The 19,058-nt window shown below is 47.9% G+C and overlaps 1 long non-coding RNA gene and 1 pseudogene across 2 annotated transcripts in view, besides 2 other annotated features; both read right to left on the bottom strand.

Moving 5' to 3' along the window:
* Window positions 1-19,058, bottom strand: part of LINC00842 (long intergenic non-protein coding RNA 842) — a 54,945-nt gene that overhangs the window by 22,848 nt on the left and 13,039 nt on the right. The gene's annotated exons all lie outside the window — the stretch shown is intronic.
* Window positions 5,054-5,554: an enhancer, noted in NCBI's record as "H3K27ac hESC enhancer chr10:47124350-47124850 (GRCh37/hg19 assembly coordinates)". NCBI's record gives its function as "activates a minimal SCP1, AML or CMV promoter by ChIP-STARR-seq in naive H9 embryonic stem cells {active_cell/tissue: H9 hESC(naive)}" and the evidence as "EXISTENCE:reporter gene assay evidence [ECO:0000049][PMID:30033119]".
* Window positions 5,555-6,055: an enhancer, noted in NCBI's record as "H3K27ac hESC enhancer chr10:47124851-47125351 (GRCh37/hg19 assembly coordinates)". NCBI's record gives its function as "activates a minimal SCP1, AML or CMV promoter by ChIP-STARR-seq in naive H9 embryonic stem cells {active_cell/tissue: H9 hESC(naive)}" and the evidence as "EXISTENCE:reporter gene assay evidence [ECO:0000049][PMID:30033119]".
* On the bottom strand, window positions 14,043-14,606 carry HNRNPA1P33 (heterogeneous nuclear ribonucleoprotein A1 pseudogene 33; annotated as a pseudogene). The gene has a single exon (NR_003277.2). The product of NR_003277.2 is annotated as a heterogeneous nuclear ribonucleoprotein A1 pseudogene 33 (transcript).

Genomic DNA, 19,058 nt, shown 5'->3' with positions numbered 1-19,058 from the left:
TACGATTCAGCCATAAAAAAGAATAAGATCCTGTCATTTACAACAACATGGATGGAATTAGAGGACATAATGTTAAATGAAATAAAAAAGGCACAGAAACACAAATTTTGCATGTTCTTACTCATTTGTGGAAGCTAAAAATTAAAAATATTGAACTCATGGAGATAGAGAGTGGAATGATGGTCACCAGAGCTGGGAAAAGGTTGTGGGTGTGGGGGGTGGGAAATGGAGATGGTTAATGGGTACAAAAGTAGAGTTAAATACAATGAATAAGATGCAGTATTTGATAGCACAACAGGTTGGCCAGTCAACGATAATTTTTAGTATATTTAAAAATAAGTAAACGTGTATAATTGGAATTTTTGTATCACAAAGAAATGATAAATGCTTGAGGTGATGGATACCTTGTTTACTGTGATGTGATTATTACGCATTGCATGCCTGTATCAAAACACCTCATGTACTCCATAAATATATACACCTACTATGTACCCATAAAAATAAAAAAAAAAACAGAAATTCCTCTCCTAGGTATTTATTTATTCAAGAGGAATAAAAACACCTGTGTTCACAAGGACTTATAAACAAATATTTATAACAATTTTAGTAGCTTCAAACTGGGGAAAAACCCCAGACAGTAGAATGGATAAGCAAATTGTGATATTGCTGCAGAATGGAACACTACCCAACATTAAAGCAGGAGAGATTACAGATACACATGACAAGGAGAATGGAGCTCAGAAACATTATGATGAGTGAAAGGAGCCCACACAAGAGACTACAGTCATGGTGGTATAGTTTGGCTGTGTCCCCACCCAAATCTCATCTTGAATTCCCGTGTGTTGTGGGAGGGACCCAGTGGAGGGTAATGGAATCATGGGGGCAGATCTTTACTGTGCTGTTCTCATGATAGTGAATAAACCTCATGAGATGTGATGGTATTATAAGGGGGAGTTCCCTTGCACAAGCTCTCTCTTTGCCTGCTGCTAACCATGTAAGACGCGACTTGCTCCTCCTTGCCTCCCGCCGTGATTGTGAGGCCTCCCCAGCCACCTGGAACTGTAAGTCCATTAAATCTTTTTTTTTTTGTAAATTGCCCAGTCTTGGGTATGTCTCTATCAGCAGCTTGAAAATGAATTAATACACAACGATGCTCAATGACAGTGATGCGTTCTCAGAAACACATCATTAGGGGATTTTGTCATTGTGTGAACATCATAGAGTGTACTTACACAAACCTAAATGGTACAGCCCATTACATACCTGGGCTCTATGGCATAGCCTGTTGCTCCTAGGCTACCAATCTGTGCAGCATGTGACTGTACTGAATACTGCAGGCAACTGTAACACGGTAATATTTGTATATCCAAACATAGCTAAACATAGGAAGGGTAGAGTGAAAATACAGCATAGAAGACAAAAAGTAGTGCACCTCTGTGGGGCATCTACCATGAATGAAGCTTGCAGGTCTGGAAATTGCTCTGGATGAGCTAGTGAGTGAGTGGTGAGTGAATGTGAAGTCCCAGGACATCATTGTACACTATTACAGATTTTATAAACACTATAAACTTAGGCTACACTAAATGTATTTTAAATTTTTTTCTTCCTTCAATAATAAATGAACCTTAGCTTCTTTATGTTATCAACTTTATTTTTTTAACTTTTTGACTTTTTTATATTAATACTTAGCTTAAGACACATGTTGTATAACTGTACAAAAATATTTTCTTTCTTTATATCCTTATCCTATAAGCTTTTTTCTTTTTTTACATTTTAAATTAGAAAAAAATTAAAATGAAGACACACACATTAGCCCACACCTACCCAGGGTCAGGATTATCAATATCACTGCGTTCCACCTCCACATCTTGTCCTACCAGATGGTCTTCTGGGGCCGTCATGCACATGGAGCTGTCATCTCCTGTGATGAGAGTGCCTTGTTCTGGAATCCCTCCTGAAGAACCTGCCTGAGGATGTGTTACATTAACTTTTTCTTTTTAATAAGTAGAAGGAGTGCATTGTAAAATAATCATGAAAGTATAGTATAGTAAATACATAAACTGCTAACAGTCATTTGTTATCATTGTCAAGTACTATGCACTGTACATAATTCTATGTGCTAGATTTTATACAACTGGCAGTGCAGGTTTGTTTACACCAGCATCACCACAAACACCTAAATAATACATTGCACTAGGTTGTTGCCAGGCGATAAGATTCTTTCAGCTCCATTATAATTTAATGGGATCACCGTCTGTAGTTGACTGAAGTGTCACACAGCATGTGACTGTATGCATATTCACCTCCTAGAACCCAGACTCATACGAAGAAGTAGGGAATACCCTACTCGCAACCATGTTTTATTTCCTAGTTTCTTCCATTGGCCATTTTCTTTTTCAGGCTGGAGACTTCCCTCCCATCCCCACTGGTGTTCCCAGTCTCTCTGCCTCCTAAGTCTTCCTCTGTTGCTCTCTGGGGACCAGCTTGTGCAGCAGTTTTGTATCACTGTAGGGTAGGGCTTCAATGAGCCCTGTCCTGTGTCCTTCCCTGGCTCACTGCGTCTTGCCTTCCCTTCCTCGCACAGCCCAGGGCCTGACACCACCTCCTGCAGTTGGTCATTCAGGAGCAGGGCACTCAGGGAAGGAGACGGCTCTGCTTCGAGTATAGCCTGGGCACCATCCACAAACGCCTTGGTGTTTGAACTCACCTGTGCATCCCAGATACAGGTATAGTCTCTCCAAAACAAAGGGTGTAGGAAATATTTTTACTTCTCCATCTTTCCAAAGTATCCTTCCCTTAGTATCTTAGCAACCTTCCCCGGAGAGGCTCTTTGGGCTGTGGATGTAGTACCCAGTATCCTGGGCTGCAGATTCATTGATTTTCCATGCTTTGATTGGGTATAATCATGCTCAGAGCTGAGCAAGGTTGGCAGTGAGTGGGCCACTGACATCAGCTTATTCATGATCTCTCTGTGCTCCGATTCTGACATGAACTTCCTTTTCTGTCTCAGAGGAGAGAGATTTCAGGGCTGTGAGCCTGAGGATGGACCAACACGCACGTCAGTTGTGTCTCTGAGGACTAAAGATGGCCAGGACCCAGGACCCCAGCTAGCCTCCGGATGCTGCTGGCTGCTGGGGACCCGTGACCTAAGGCACACCCCTCAACACATTTTCTTTCATTCCTGTCAATCTCCTGTACTGGTGACTGGGCTGGGCCCTCCTGCTGGCCTCCAGGGCCCCACCTGAGCCTCTGGTCCCGGCCTCAGTCAGGCCCAGGCCTAGGGGACCGGCTTCTTGTTTCCTTTCCCGAGAGCTCTCTGGGAGTCCTTACAATAGATTCCAACCCAGGCACTTTTGACAGTGAAAGAAGATTTGTATTATTTTCTTAGGGCTGCCGTAACAAATTGCCACAAACTTCATGGTTTAAAAGAACAGAAATTTATTATCTCACGGTTCTGGAAGTCAGAAGTCCGAAATCACAGTGTCACAGGGCTGTGCTCCCTACTTAGGCTCCAGGCAAGGTTCTTCTTTGCTTTCCTGCTTCCAGTAGCTCCAAGCTTGGCTCGTGGCTCTGATCTCTGCCTCCAGCCTCCCATAGCCTTCTCCTCTGTGTGTGTCTCTCCTTTTCTGTCTCTTACAAGGACTGAGTACTCAAACTTATATCTAACAAAGTACTGGTATCAAAAATATAAAAATTACTCCTGCAATTCAATAATAAGAAGACAAACAACTTAATTAAAAATGGCAAAGTCAGGATGAACTTACCTGAAGATCCTTAATTTAATTACATCTACAAAGCTGTTTTATCCAAATAAGGTTATAGTCACAGGATCCAGGAATTTGGACCCAGACCAACCTTTTGTGGGGGCCACAATTCAACCCACTCCAGGATTTTAATAATAACTATTCCATAACAAAAGACAGAACACCATGACTGTCCCTCCATTCACCTGCATGGCCTCTGAAACCTAAGGACACCTTAGAAGTGGCATCTCTAGCTCGGCGTGGTGGTTCATGCCTGTAATCCCAACACTTTGGGAAGCCGAGGCCGGCAGAGCACTTGAAATCAGGAGTTTGAGACAAGCCTGGGCAACATGGCAAAACCCCGTCTCCACTAAAAATACAAAAATTAGCCAGATGAGGTGGTGCACGCCTGTAATCCCAGCTATGTGGGAGGCTGAGGCAGGAAAATCATTTAAACCTGGGAGGTGGAGGTTGCAGTCAGCCGAGATCGAGCCACTGCACTCCAGCCTGGAAGATAGAGTGAGGTTCTGTCTCAAAAAAAAAAAGTGTCATCTCCACCACTGGCTCCCTGGGCCACAGACAGGCAGGGAGGAAAAGGACTCAGATCCCTCGTGTGCCTTCCACCGACGGCTTCGCCTCCTCCTCTAACAGGCCTGTGGTCTGATGTTGAGTCCATGTGGCCCCCAGTCTATGCCGGAGGTACTCCCCGGCTAACCCTAGAAGCCAGTTGTATTAGTCCTTTTTCATGCTGCTATGAAGAAACACCCAAGACTGGGTAATTTCTAAAGAAAAGAGGTTTAATAGACTCACAGTTCTTCACAGGGCAGCAGGAGAGAGAATGAGTGTTAGCAGGAGAAATGCTGGGCACTTATAAAGCCATCAGATCTCACGAGACTCACTCACTATCATGAGAACAGCATGGGGGAAACCGCCCCCATTATCCAATTACCTTCATCTATCTAGTCCTAACTTTAACACGTAGGGATTATGGGGATCGTAATTCAAGATGAGGTTTTGGGTGGGGACAAAGCCAAATCATATCAACGATGTTATCCTGTCAGAACTCAAGAGAAGGGTGAGGGCTGGGGGAGGGCCGGGGGATGAGCCCATCTGAAGTGGCCAGTGGAAGCAGTTGGCCTTCTGGAGAGGGAGGCAGGAAAGGCTGGGAGGTAGGTGGCCTTGGAGGCCCAGAGGGTAGGGGGAGAACGTGGGGGTGGAGTGACAGCTGGACATCCCGAGGTAGGGACTGGAAAAGGAGGCCTAGGGAGTTCCAGATGTACCCACCTTTCTCTTTGTAACTTAATGCTGGTTGCATGACCTGTAGGTAACGTTGCAGGGGACTTGGGGTACAGTATGAGCTCTGTGGTTCCCTGCTTTGAGAAAAGGAATCCTCTTTACAAACTTTCTATGTGATTGTGGTGGGGGTAATAATAAAGAGAGCCCCCCACTGCCCACCACAAGGGCAGTCAGAGGACCCACATTGGCCAGAGTGTGTCACACATTGGACGTGCTTATTAGGTTGGGATCAGCACGTGGACAGCAGGGCCAACTAGGGTCCATTGTTAGGAAACTGAGTGCTGGGAGAGCAGTTGTCTCTCCTTCGGCATGTGCTCTAAGGAGTCTGAGCTTGGACCTGCTGAGCACCATAGCTGTCTCCTGGGGAGACTGTGTCTGAAGCTGGAGCCCAACAGAGCCCTGCAGAGGCCAGAGACGGGGAGGGAAAGTTCAGGACCTTGCTTGGACTCCTGGATCCAACCTCACTTCAAAGTCATGGTCACGGATTTCCCAGTTAGAGAGCTCACCTTGAGAGGTGGGGTCTCTGTCCCATCCCCTGGAATCTAGGTGAGCTCTATGACTTCTCTGACCCATAGAGTGAGGCACATGGTGCTGTGCCCGCTTCTAAGCTCAGGGCTAAGAGGCTGTCAGCTTCCACTTCTTGCCTTTCTGATCCAGATGCCATGCTGTGAGAAGGCCCAAGCCACATGGAGGAGCTGTGCCTAGGCCTGCAGACCACAGCCCTCACTCGGTTCCCAGCTGCCAGCTATGTGAGGAAGCCACTTGGGATGTCCAGCCCTGTCGGGCCTTTGGATGACTCAGACGCCATCTGACTAACCCAGGGAGAGACCCCACACAACACCTGCCTGGCTTAGCCAAGCCAACTCCTTCAACTGTGAAAGATGGTGACAAATTATTGTTTTAAGCCACTAGGTTTTGAGGTTATTATGCATTATTTGAAAATAATTAAAATTATTTCAAAAACTGTTTATTGTGACTGATATGGATGCCTAAGGTCCTTGCATAAATGTGTCCTCACTTGATTTAGATGCCAAAATAGGAATCTGCACCTTGAATCTCATCATGAGCTCCATGAAGCTTTGGGTAGCCTCAAGAATTCTAGAGTGCAGGGGCTTAAATTCAAATAACTCTGGCAGAACACTGATGGCCTCCCTCCTCTGGCTGTATCATGCACAGCCTGCTTCAGCTAAGGGGACAGAAGGAGGGAGCCAGCATTTCTCTGAGAACCAATTATAAACACCTTGGGGGAACTCTCATGATCAGTAAGATGCTCTCAGAGCATCGCTTTATGCATATGCTAAGAAGCTGGGGCAAGAGTAGCTTTTTTTTTAATAGTACATTTCATGTAAATTTTTACTGAAGTGAACAGACATATACAAAAATACACAAATTATAATTATATGGTTCGATTAATCTTTGCCAAGGGAACCATGTCACCAGCACTCAGATTCAATAATTGAACATTGTAAGCACCCAAGAAACTGACTTGCACCCTGTGTTGATCATGCCCCCCCAACAGTGATAGTCACCTCATTCTCCAGAGGCCTTAGGCATTGCCTCAGGATCATGGTGGAAGCTTCTCTGGGTGGGGCTGCTTGGGGACCAGCCATCCTGCAGTGGGCCCATGATAAGCACCTGTGGCGCCACACCCCTGGCTAGCAGGCCTGCTGGGAACACCTGTAGGAAGACCTTGGCAGGATCATTGGCCCTTGAGTCAGCTGCTTGCTCAACTTCATGATCAGAGATAAAGGTGAATGCAAGTACTGTGGCCATGCCATGCTTAGGACTCGAGAATGGTGCAGCCTCTCTGTAGGCCAGGGAAGGACCACTAATATGGCTCCCAGCCAAGGGCCTCAGGGATTCTGAATGGCACAGTCTCTGCAGAACTTGCACTGTGTGGCTTCAGGTCTTCCAGGACAGCTAAAATGTGTGGGCCTTGAGGGTGCCTTTGGGTGCTCATAGCCTCATTAGGGAGATGAAGAGGTGAGCAGATGTCACATATGCCAAGACAGTGGAAGCATTAAGAAAGGGGAAAGGATGGGGAGGATATCACCCCAAAGGTATGGGAAAGGACCTGGTATGTCTGGAAAGTGAAGAAGGCCAGTGTGGCTGGAACAAAAGGCACCTGGCCAGAGAGCTGGGAGATGAGGGCAGACAAGGAGGAAGGGGCTTTCCAGGCAAGGCTGAAGCCTGGATTTACCCAGAAGGCAATGAAGAGCCACCAGACACTTTAGGGGGCCCATGGTGTTGTAAAATGAAGCATTTGGGCTTTGTCCCAGGTTCCTGGAAGGGAGCTTGGCATTTTCAGGGTGGCAGGAGTGTCTTTGCTATTCATCGTGGGTCCCTGGGGCCACACCGGAGTTTATGCTGACCAGGTGCTTCAAGGTGGGACTCCATAGCTTCAGGATGCAGGCTGGCCAACCATGGCAAGACCAGCCATGTGAATAAAGGGTCAGGACTTTGAGCCACATGATATCAGCCTGACCTCTGGGGAGAGAGTGGGTATTGGAATTGAGTACAAAGGTGTAAGCAATGATTTCATCAATCATGCCTAGGTAACAAACCCCAATAAAAACTCTGGACATTGTAGCTCAGTGCAGCCACCCTGGTTGGTAATCGTATAACCGTGTTCTGGGAGGCTTCACATTTGGGAATCTCCCCAAACCTCTCCCTGTGCATCTTTTCATTTAGCTTGTCCTGATTTGTACCAATCAATAAAACTGGAATTGTAAGTGCAGAGGTTGGTGAGTCATTCTAATGAATTATTTATTCAACTTGAAGCCCTGAGTGGGAGCCTCTATCTTGGTAGCCAGTGATTGGAAGTGTGGGTGCACTGGGAATGCAGCTGGCATCCTGCAGGGCCCTAAGTCTGTGGCATCTGTGCTAACATCAGGTGGTTACTGTCAAGACTTTCTTCACTCAGTCAGGTCTGTGCTTCAGGTGCACTGCTCTGTGGAGTGGGGAGGGGGCCTGGAGTGCATTTCTGCTCATGGGGCTCATGATTTGAACTCAGGCCTAATATGTTAATGAGCAGACACCTGGCCAAGCCCTGGGGGCCTCAAAAAACCAAGACAGGGGAAGCATCAAGAATGTGATGAGAGAGTACGCGGCCATGGGAGTGTCACCTTTGCCTCCTCTTCTCCCTGTGGCTGGAAAGGCTGGCCTGTCTGGCTGCCCAAGGATAGATGGGGAGAGGTTTAATTGAATCACCTACTGTGTTGGGTAAAGTAAACTGTCGTCATTGCAAATATAATCAGGACTGTATTTTAACAGTAGAAAATGTGATTATAATGACATATTTATCAGCTCCTTTCACCTGGGTGGATCTGAGGACATTTCAGAAAACAAGTGATTGGAATTGCTTGGCCTACCTCACACACTTACACACACACACTCTCACACACTCACAGAGACACACACTTATAAGCACACACAGTCCTGTGCATGCACACAAGTGTATACGCACCCACGCACATTTCCACATGCATGTGTGTGCACACTCACATACACAAACACACAGAGACACACCCTTACAGGGCATCTGGTGCTCTGGCCTGCTCTGACACGCAGCCCCTCCTGGGAGTGGGCAGTAAGCATTGGGGGGACATGTAGGTAGTCCCTGGGGAAGCTGGAAGGCTGACCACCTGGCGAGCAGCAGGGCGCACTCACTGGAGCCCCTGCCTGGATGAGCTGGCTTTGCTCAGCTCCAGCTGTGGTTCCCTCTGTAGACTGTGGGATCAGAAAGCCCTCATCACATGATGTAACTCTCACAAGGCTGCAATCTACTTCCCTGTCCAGGTCCCAGAGGCTCCAGGCTCTTTGTGGAGTCACCTGCTTGGGCAGCCACGGTTCTGTGGAGCTGCTTGTCAGAGAGTGCGCAGGCTCTGGAGTCAGTCAGACCTGGGTTTGACTGCTGACTCCATCTCTTACCTGCTGTGTGGCCATGAGCAAATGCCTATTCTCACTGGGACTCAGTTTCCTCATCTACAAAGTGAAACGTGTTCATACTTCCCTTATGGTCAGTGAGGATGGAATGGGATAACATTCTGCACCCCGCCTGGCACCACAGGCATATGAGGTATTCGATAAGTGAATGATTGTGCCAGACAAGAAAGCTGCCTGCCCTCCTCCTCCTCGGCCCTGTGCAGGGACTGGGGTGGATGAGAAAGCCCGTGTTTCCTGAACACCTGTTTGCACCAGGCACCTATTTGGCTGCTGCCTGGATGTCCTTCTCAGGTTCCAGCTCAGGTCTCTTGGACCAGTCCCCTGGTCTGGGGTAGGGATGCCTGGAACGGCTCTAGCGGCAAGGCCATATCTCGCCAGGCTGCCAGGATGAGCTGAGCATTGTGTCCACGGTGGGTGTCTGAAGGAAATAATGTATACAGTGGTCCATTTCCAAGACCAAGTGCCTTGAATCGGCTTAGGTCAGCAAACTATAGAAGCAACAGGACATACTAGGCCCCTGCTTGGATAGCTGCTGCCTGCTTGTCGGCCTCCCCCTTCTTCCCTCTTCCCCACCCCCTTAGTTGCCCTCACCCGAACCAAAGAAGTTTAGATAAAAGTTTATTAGTCTGCAAGATAGCTTGATTTGTCTCTTCTTGTCAGCCTGCCTAGCTACTTAGGTCATAAGTCAAACACTTGAAGAGCCCCTGAGCTGACTAGGATTGCAATGCATTGTGAGCTGCAACAAAATGCAGCAAGACAACCCTAAAAAAAAACACCTAAAGCCCCTACCTAACAATCAATAGGCAACATCCGGGAAAATTGTGACCCCATAGTACTCAGTCTATGAGCAACTGGGGGAGGGACCCGTACTCTAGGGATAAACTGCTTGTCGAAACTGCTGGGTGTGCTTGTCCATCAGACACCCGATCTTGCAAGTTCATCATTAAAAGTTTCACTTTCGCTGTTCTCTGGGTATCTGAGTCCATTCTTTGGGTTTGGACGGGTAAGTTTGTTTCTCACATGTACAAGCCAGAGGTCCATGAGTGAGAATCGGGGGCCAAGGAGCTTTGTCCATGGGGCCGTAATGGGATGAGAGGGCAGAGGTTATCAAACTCTGAGGGCTGGAGGAAGACATGGTTTCTACCTCTTATCTCATTTCCTACTCATTTAGCCTTCGGAGGCAGGCACTGCCGCTATCCCACCGAGGAGGAGTCTGACACTGTGGGCGGTGAAGGCCACAGTTACCCGGTGAGTAGCTGGGCTGGACTCCACCCTTGCTCCCTCCTACAATCAACCTCCTGCTCCTCCCAACAACTTTCCTGAAAGGAGGCAGTGACCACTGTGCCCTTGCAGCCTCCCCGGCAACCGACTTCTGAATCATCCCACTGCAGAGATCTCATTACCGCAGTGAGTGTGGCTCCAGCCTCCCCTCCCTTGGCTGCTAATGAGCGCCCTAATTTGATTGCCTCCAAATGAGTGTGATGCAAAATTAAAAGATGCCAGAAGACATGACCATAAATCCAGTGAGTTGGCTTCAATTTATTATGTTTGAATTCAATTAGATTTCTCCTCCGATGTTTTCCGAATATTTATCTAGCTGCTGGCTACAGAACGATAACTGGAAGGGGCTGTTACTGTTTAATTCCAGCCTCCTCCATTCAGCTTGGGCTCTGGCAATACCGTTGGATGGAAAATCTCAGCCTGGATGTGGGGAGGTCAAGGGAGTTCAAGGTCAGCTGCTGAGCCTTCTGCCAGCCAGCCAGCATATTTCCTGTTGGGGAAGGGATTCAAAGCAATATACCCTATTAAAATGTTTTAAAAATGATTTTTAGTGCATAAACACTACAAGGGACTCCACAGAAGGGAGTGTTGGTGTCAAGGCCTTTGTTGTGTCACAGGCAGCAGGGGGGATGGGGATCTGGGGTCTGGGCTCAGCCTGGCCACGAACTTTGTGTGACTTGGGAAAATCACTAACCTTTTCCAGCCTTGGCTTCTCCATTTGCAAAACGACGGAGTTGGACTCTGGGAACTGTTTTCAGTGGCCCTGGATTCTGCACTGCTACTCTCCTTTTAGTTTCAGGGTGTTTGCCCACTCTCCTTCCCCACCCCCACAGCCATGTGTCCTGCTTGACCCTGGGAACCTGACGTCTTTAAGCTGCCTCTCAGGCTTTCTTACTGACTGGGCAGAGGTTGGAATTAGCCAGTGGGAGACTCTAGCTGGAAGGCAAAAGTATAGGAAGAGAGAGAGTGGTCAGTGTATCCCCCCACCCCGTCCCCACTGCCCCTCCCCAAGGCTGTGTCTCTCCAAGACATCAGCTCCTGCTGGAAACCCCTTCTCCACATCTCTAGCTCTTACTGGCTGTGGCAACACTATTCCTCTCTGTCTAGCCCCATGAGTAACAGCATCCTAGAGTTGTTTGTTTTCGTGCTTCTCAACATCCCTGTTCATCCTCTTCACCTGGCCACACTTCTGTAAGGACTACTGCCATTAAAGTCTCATCATTTGAAGCATTCAATGCCATTTCTTGCCATGACCCTGAACAATGCAGATACTAAATCCATTTTTCGACTGTGGTTTTCCATGGAGGGCTCCCCAGGTCTAGAGGGGAGCTGAGACAAAAGCATTCCCGGCTTGGGAGCCTGTTGTGCAGTTGGGGAGGTCCCAGAGCACCAAGGCCAAGCTGGGGAGACGTTGTCCCTACGGGCATGGCCAGGCCTCCGGCCTCAGGGAGGAGAGGGAGACGGTGATCATGGAGGGGAGGCCCTGGGAGTGAGAAGCTGGGGGAATTGTTCCACCCTGCCCCTCCCCCCAACCTCCAGAGAGCGAAAGACGATGGGATGTGGGAGGAGGGCAAAGGGGAAGAGGAAGAGGCTCCCTGTCCTGCTGGGTCCTTAGCCAAGTTGGAAGAGGGAGAGTGAGAAGCCCGCATCTAGGGTAAAGGAGTATGCCCCCAGGGGAGGAGAGAAAGGCTGATGACACAGAGGGCTCATTTGCTCTGAAATGGGCCTCCCAGTGGAACAGTGACGAAGAGGCAGAGTCAGCCGTGGCGGAAGAGCAGGAAGGAGAGGAGTCCCAGAGCAGGATGGAGGGAGCATCAGGGAGATGGGTGGATGGCCAGGGCTGGCCTATGGGGCGATGACCAAAGGTTGCAGGGGTGGGTTCAGGAATGAGACCAATGAAGTCTCCTGATTTATGGCTTCCAGCTTTGGTGTAAGTCAATGACCCGAATCTCTGGAGAAGGGTGGGGAATCTGACTCTGAATATGTGGCCCAGGAGCCCTGCATGAAGGAGCTGGGGCCTGAAGAGTAACTCTGCATTGAGTACTAGGCCTCCAAATCAGATCCTGGCCAGCTGCTGTCTCTGATGGCTCCCAGTCCTCCCCTCAGACCCACGGCCGTAGGCCAGACTGGCAGGGGCAAGAGGCAGGAGCCAAGTGGGACATGTCCAGTGTCCTGGCCAAACATACACTGGACGCAGATGAGCCATATGCCTGGGAAACAGAGAAATGGGGTGAGGCCAGGTCTTCTTGTGAGAATGAATGTGCCTTACTCTCTCCTGGAGAGAGGGTGATGACAAGAGTTCATTCATTCATTCATAATTGCTTTTTGATTTAAGCAGGCGAGTTTGTTGTTTAACAGGCTGGGAACATCTCTCTTTTATTGAAACATGTGACATAGCAGGTTAAACTCCTAAAGATTCAGCACAGCAGATGAGAATCAAGGAGTTTCCTTCTTAAAAAGCATAACTTGCATATGAATGAAGATGATTCCAAATTATGTTTTTTCCCCATGACCCTAAAATTTTATCCCAAATGGAGTTATAATATTAGATATTGATCAGATCAGCATTTCATATCAAAGCTCAGGACATCCATCTAAATATTTAAAAATCTTTCACTCTCACAGCACATCTTGTGATCAATGTAAAACAAACAGATAGGAACAAATCAAATATGAGAGAAGGGTTTATGGTGAGAGAAAACAGTTTCTATCCTCTCCCCTCCCCAGTCCTGGCCTCACTCTCCAGAGGCAACTTCTTGTAAACATTTCCATTTTTAGTACTTCTGGTGGGTGCCTCCACAATGCTTAGTAGCATGTATAGGCACCCTTATTTTTTTATTCATCTGGAGAAAATTTATCTACCTCCTGTGATGGAACATAAGAAATGGCCTCATTATGCACCTCTGCTTCCTCCCTTCATCCTTCCAAAGTTTTATCATTTTGGCATAATTATTTTTAGTTTTCTGTTATTTACTTTTAAAACTTTAAACCATATAATTGTACTTTGATTCTGCATTCCATCCACCTCAGGGAGAGTAACGGTCTGGGGCGGTCAGGTTGGGTCTGTTCCCATACCCTCCCCTTCTTCTGAAAGGACTCTCCCCTCCCTCCCGGGGGCCTGTGCCCATGACCAGCCAGTCACAGGGCCAGGCATATGTCCTGGGCCCTGGCCACTGTGGGATACAGGCATGCTCCCCAATCTTGACCACTAGGAATCCTGCAGGACTTTCACTACTAAAACTGCTCTCTTCAGGTCACAACAGTAACTATCAGTTCAACTACAACAAAGGTTTCTGAAGACAATGGCTTCTCCACCCAAGCAGGTTGTATATAAATTCCAAATAGAACTTGGCATCACCCTGAAGGAATTCTAACTTCACACTGTTGGGGAAATTTACCAAGATAGCTTCAGAGTAAACTAACTTTACACAGCACATTAAAACAAAAGACATTTATTCAGCGTCATGATCAGACTATTACATTTAGCAATCAACAGCATGGGTGCAAAAAAAAAAAAAACCTATATTAAAACCCTTAGCTGGAATGCTTTACACTTTCCACAGAACAGAAACTAAAATAACCTGTTATACAGTTAGTCACAAATACAGTCCTCGAATTTTTTGCCCATACACATGAGTATTTGTCTAAAACATGTCTTCTTTGTAGCAGCTAGGCCCTGCCACCACTGTGCTTGGCTGAGTTCACAAATCTGTCGTAACCTGTAGATTCCCTGTCATTTCTCTGGCTCTCCTCTCCTGCTAAGCTTTGTTTCCTAATTAAAATCTGCCACTGCCATAGCTACTGCTGCTGCTGGAACCGCCAATAGCCACCTTGGTTTCATGGTTTTGCAAAGTATAGGCCTCCATTGCCACAGGGGCCAGAGCTTCTGCCTCCAAAATTTCCTCCCTTCATGGGTCCAAAATTTGAAGACTCATTGTTGTAATTGCCAAAATCATTGTAGCTTCCACCACCTCCAAAATTGCTTCCATCATTACCAAATCCATTACAGCCATCCCCACTGCCACCATATCCACCACCACCACGACTGCCACCAAAGCCACCAAGACCACTGAAGTTTCCTCCAATACCAAAGTTGTCATTCCCACTGAAACCACCTCCACGACCACCACCAAAGTTTCCAGAACCACTTCGACCTCTTTGGCTGGATGAAGCACTAGCCATCTCTTGCTTTGACAGGGCTTTCCTAACTTCACAGTTGTGGTCATTCACAGTATGGTATTTCTGAATGACAATCTTAACGACGGAGTCATGGTCGTCAAAAGTTACAAAGGCAAAGCCCCTTTTCTAGCCACTGACTCGGTCAGTCATGATTTCAGTCACCATTAAAAGGGATTACCCAAGCAAAATCATGGAATTATTGGTTATAAAAGTAATTGTTGGCACATCCTATGTAACATATCTAATTGAATAATGGTACCAGATTAAATTATAGATGGGAATGAAGCTTGTGTATCATCCATTATCATGTGTAATCAATAAACAATTTAATTCTCTTGAAAAAAATAAATAAAACTGCTCTCTTTTGTTCTGGGATTACCTCTAGGAAGGAAATGTAAAATCAGCTCTTGTAGGGTGCCTCCAGGCCCCTGACACGTGGAAAGATCGTGCAGGAGAAAACCAACCCAGAGGTCAGTGGAGGTGGAGAGGAAGTTGTGAGAGAGATCAAGCTGTGGTGGTGAGAAAGGCAGCTAGTCCTGCTCACTGAAGCCTCCATTGCTTCCGGACTGTCACAGTTACACCGACCTGACAATTTCAGTATTAGCATTAGAGAATTGTTTCAGCTTTCCAACTAACGCAGGGTGTATTGTACACCCCACCTCAGGTAAGATGAGAATTAGCACGTAGGCTGCCTGTGCTACTTTTCTGTTGCTGCTGTAACAAATTTCCACAAATTTATGATTTGCTTAGAGCACCACAAATCTTACAGTTCTGGAGGCCAGAAGTCCAGCATGGGCCTCACGGGGCTAAAATCAGTGTCACAGGGCAGCTGTGTTCCCATGAGGCGGCTGTGTTCCCATAAGGCTCCGGGTGGAGACTGTTTCCTTGCCTTTTCCAGCTTCTAGAAGCTGATGGAGTTCCTTGGCCAGCCACTTTCTCCCTCCATTGTCACAGCAGGTGTGGCTTCACTCTGACCTCTTCTGCTTCTCCCTTCCACCGAAGGGCCCCTGTGGTTACACTGGGTACACCTGGGGGCTTAGCCTGTCTAATATTGCCACACCCTCTTGTGAATCTTCTTTTTTCTTTTCTAAGAGATGGGGTCTCGCTTTGTTGCCTAGGCTGGAGTAGGGTGGTGTGACGGTAACTCACTGCAGGCTTGAATTCCTGTCCTCAAGCGATCCTCCTGCCTCAGCCTCCGAAAGTGCTGGGATTACAGGTGGGAGCCACAGTGCTAGGCCTCTCATGAACCCTGTCTTCCAGAAATGTGTTGGACTCTCATCCATTAGTAAGCCATCTTTCTCTCTTTTTTTAATGCTTTTCCCTTATAGATTTACTCCATTTTAAATTTATAAGCTTAAATTTCAGTGATGATGTCTTAGGAAGAACAGGAGAGGAGGAACAAAGGAACAAACCACTTTAATGGGAAGCTGAAAGGACCCTTTTAAAAGTGTGCAGTGGGGAGAGCCTGGGCTTGGTCTCTGGTAAACCTGGTGAATGGTGGGTTAACACTCCCTCCCTCACTCGGTGTTGCTGGGAGGATAAGACAGAACTTGTGGCGAGCAGGTGTCCAATAGCTGCCTCTTGCTATGTGCAGCCAGTGCCACATCCAGGCTGAGTGCTGTGGGGAGTGTGGCTCATCCCGCTGGGGCCACCCCAGGCCTCGCTCACTGGAGACTCCAGAATCAGGGCTGACTGAGCAGCTTGTGGCACTGAAGAATGTTCTAGGAAAGGAGGTGTGTCCTCCTTGGAAGGGGAAGCTTCATGGTGGGTGAGCTGAGGGTAAGGGGTGGGTGAGGGCCATTTGAAGAGTCACCTCCCCTACATTCTTTTATCTTTTGGAGCCTCCATCCACGCCACTTCAAACAATGAACACACACATCCAAGTCAGTAAGTGCACTTTGTGTATATCTATATAAGTGATGCGCAATTACTATATAACAGTTCACTAGCTGACCTGACATTATTCACATATCGTAGGCATGTGACTAATTGTAGGTGTGTAATGAAGTGTTCACATCTTATTACATATTTAATTCCTAAGGCATTTCTACAGTTTTATTTGAGAATTTTGGAACTGCCAGTATGTTTTTCATGTTTCAAACCTTTTCACAGGCCCTGAAAAAACCCAAAGGCCTTATATTCTGGGACCGTAATGGACAAAACAGCCCTGGGAAGTATGCTTGAGAGGATGGCGAAGGCTGGGTTTGCTGAGGGAGGTGCCAGCTAAGGTGCTGGGCACACCAGAGGCAAGGGATCTGGACCACAACTGTCAGTTTGACGAACACACTAATGGTGGAGTGACCCCCACCAGGAGTGGCCAGCAAGCAGGGTCCAACAGGAAAGACATCTGGGAGGCCAGCAGGTAGAATCCTGGCTCTGCCACCTTCGTGCTATGTGATATCAGCCAAGTTACTTGCCCTCTCTGATTCTCAAATGCTCGGAGGCCCTTTGACCTCTAGAGTCTATGGGACCTGAGTGACCACAGGGCTCTTGTTTGTTGGTGGCTGCCTCTTTATTTAACTCCTTTTCTCAAATACGGTCTATGGGCTTTGCTTAAAGTGAGGTGTCCTGTGCACACTCTTCTCCATGACTTTGAGGCCGTGAGAAGCCCCGCCCTGCAGAAGGACTGAGGAAACTAGTGCTGGAGTCTCCTTTCTTGTATCAGTGAAGGAAGGGGAGAGAGGAGATAAAGTGCTCAGGTTACAGAATGTGAGGATCATGCCCCTTTTTTCCAACTGAAGACATTCCTAGGCATTTTATCTCCCCTGTTGCAACTCCTAAATCACAAAAACCTTATGCATCCAGTTTGGCTGACATCCACCTGCAATGGGAGTGAGTGAGATTGAGCCACTCCTCAGGTGAATGGAAAATTAAGGCCAACCAAGGCCCACCCCATGCCCCACTGTGGGGTCTAAAAGGAGCAGGCACTGGCCTGCTTTCTTTTTCCCTAAAGAAAGCTCTTTGGGGACCCAGCAGAAACAGCAGAGGTGGGGATGCGAGCTTCCGCCTGCATTTGTTCCAGGGTGGGCCAGTGAGGATTTGGGAGGAATGGTGTGGAAAGGCCCTGCCCAAGAAGGCTGGATGCTGGCTGGGGAATGCCCAGGGTGCCAGCTCCCTACCCTGGGGAAAGGCCAGGCTGGCATATGCCGGAGCCAGGGTCCAAGGTCACAGAGAGGCCACACCTGGGCACCCCTCCCAGCAAGGGAAGGTCCAAGCTGGGAATTACTTCTCTTTGGAAAGTGAGGGGAGTGGTACAGAAATATTGCTATTGTTGCTGTTGTCCTGTCACTTCTGGCATTGGAAATGGTGTTGAGCTTCTACGTGACGGGCATTGGAGGTCAAACCTGAAACAGGTGAGGCCCATCCCTTTACTAGGCTCACGTTCTAGGTAGGGAGGAGGCAGGTACCTCCTCCACCTAAGAAACAACAAGAGATAGAGAATGCAGTAACTGTCCTAAAGAGAAAAACCAGGGGATGGAGAGAGAATAATGGTTGTCAGGACGGGTCAGACTTTAGGATGGTAAATGAGGAGTGGTCTCTGAGAAGGGATGAGGCAGAGGAAGTGAGGCTCAGGGAAGTGAAGCACTTGCCCAAGGCAGCCTGCTGGTCATGGCAGAGCTGGCAAGCTCATTCCCTCCTCATTATGTCAACCTTCTGGGACCAGAGTCTGGGCAGGGCAGAAACTACTGCACCAGGGGTGCGTGGCTCCAGCAGAGAGAGACAAAGTGCCCCATGCAATCCAGAAACTGAGCCCTCTGGGCTCAATCTTCAAAGGAATGACTCTCAGAGTTGTGTCCCCTGCCTTTTCTTCACCATGGAACTTTTCCCAGCTCCACTCTGGTGGGCTTGGGGACAGGACCTGCCCTCTGCAAAGTGATGACCAAGGATAAGTCGCATTTTCAAGGAGACCTTGGAGAACACCACCCTCTTATTGTGCAAAAGAGGAAACAGGTCCAGAGAGGGTGAGCCATTTTTTCAGCATCACACAGCTGACCTGGAGCAGAGTTTCCTAAAAGCTCCCTCGGTGCTCTTTCCCCTGCTGTGGCTAGACCCCTCCACAGGAACTTAACAGGAACCCAAAGGAACGAGTCACTCATGGCAGAATCACTAATGTGATGGAGGGCAGGAGTGAGAGACGGCATAATGTCAATGCTGGCACACTCCTGGCACACGGGAAGCTGTCCATGAGTGGTTGCTTCCCACCACTTCCATCGCCCAGTTTGGGACATGTCTGAGATCCAGTGCTGAGCCCAGGGTCTAGCATGTCATGGGAGCTCAGGAGTTCCTAATTGACTACATGAATGCTAAGGTGTGGGATGTGCTCCTTCCTGCTTTCTCATTCTCAAAGAATACTCTTATACACCTGGTTGTGGGGAGGGTATATAGGCAATCAACTTTTGCGTACTCACTTCCATTGTAGGATCATGCATGCATGTGGACGTGCGCACACACACAAACACAAATGCACACACACACACACACCTGCCTTCTCAAACTTGTGGGACCAGAAAGGATGCTGCAAGGCCTAAGATAATTGCTGGTCTCTTTTTTCTTATGCTTTAGCAGGAAAAACACACTCTTCCAAGCACACAGCTGCAGAGGTCTTCCTGAGCA

Source organism: Homo sapiens, chromosome 10 (assembly GCF_000001405.40).
Source record: "Homo sapiens chromosome 10, GRCh38.p14 Primary Assembly".
Taxonomy (NCBI): Eukaryota; Metazoa; Chordata; class Mammalia; order Primates; family Hominidae; genus Homo; species Homo sapiens.
The sequence above is the reverse complement of the archived record's forward strand: the minus strand, read 5'-3'. Positions and strand labels throughout refer to the sequence as shown.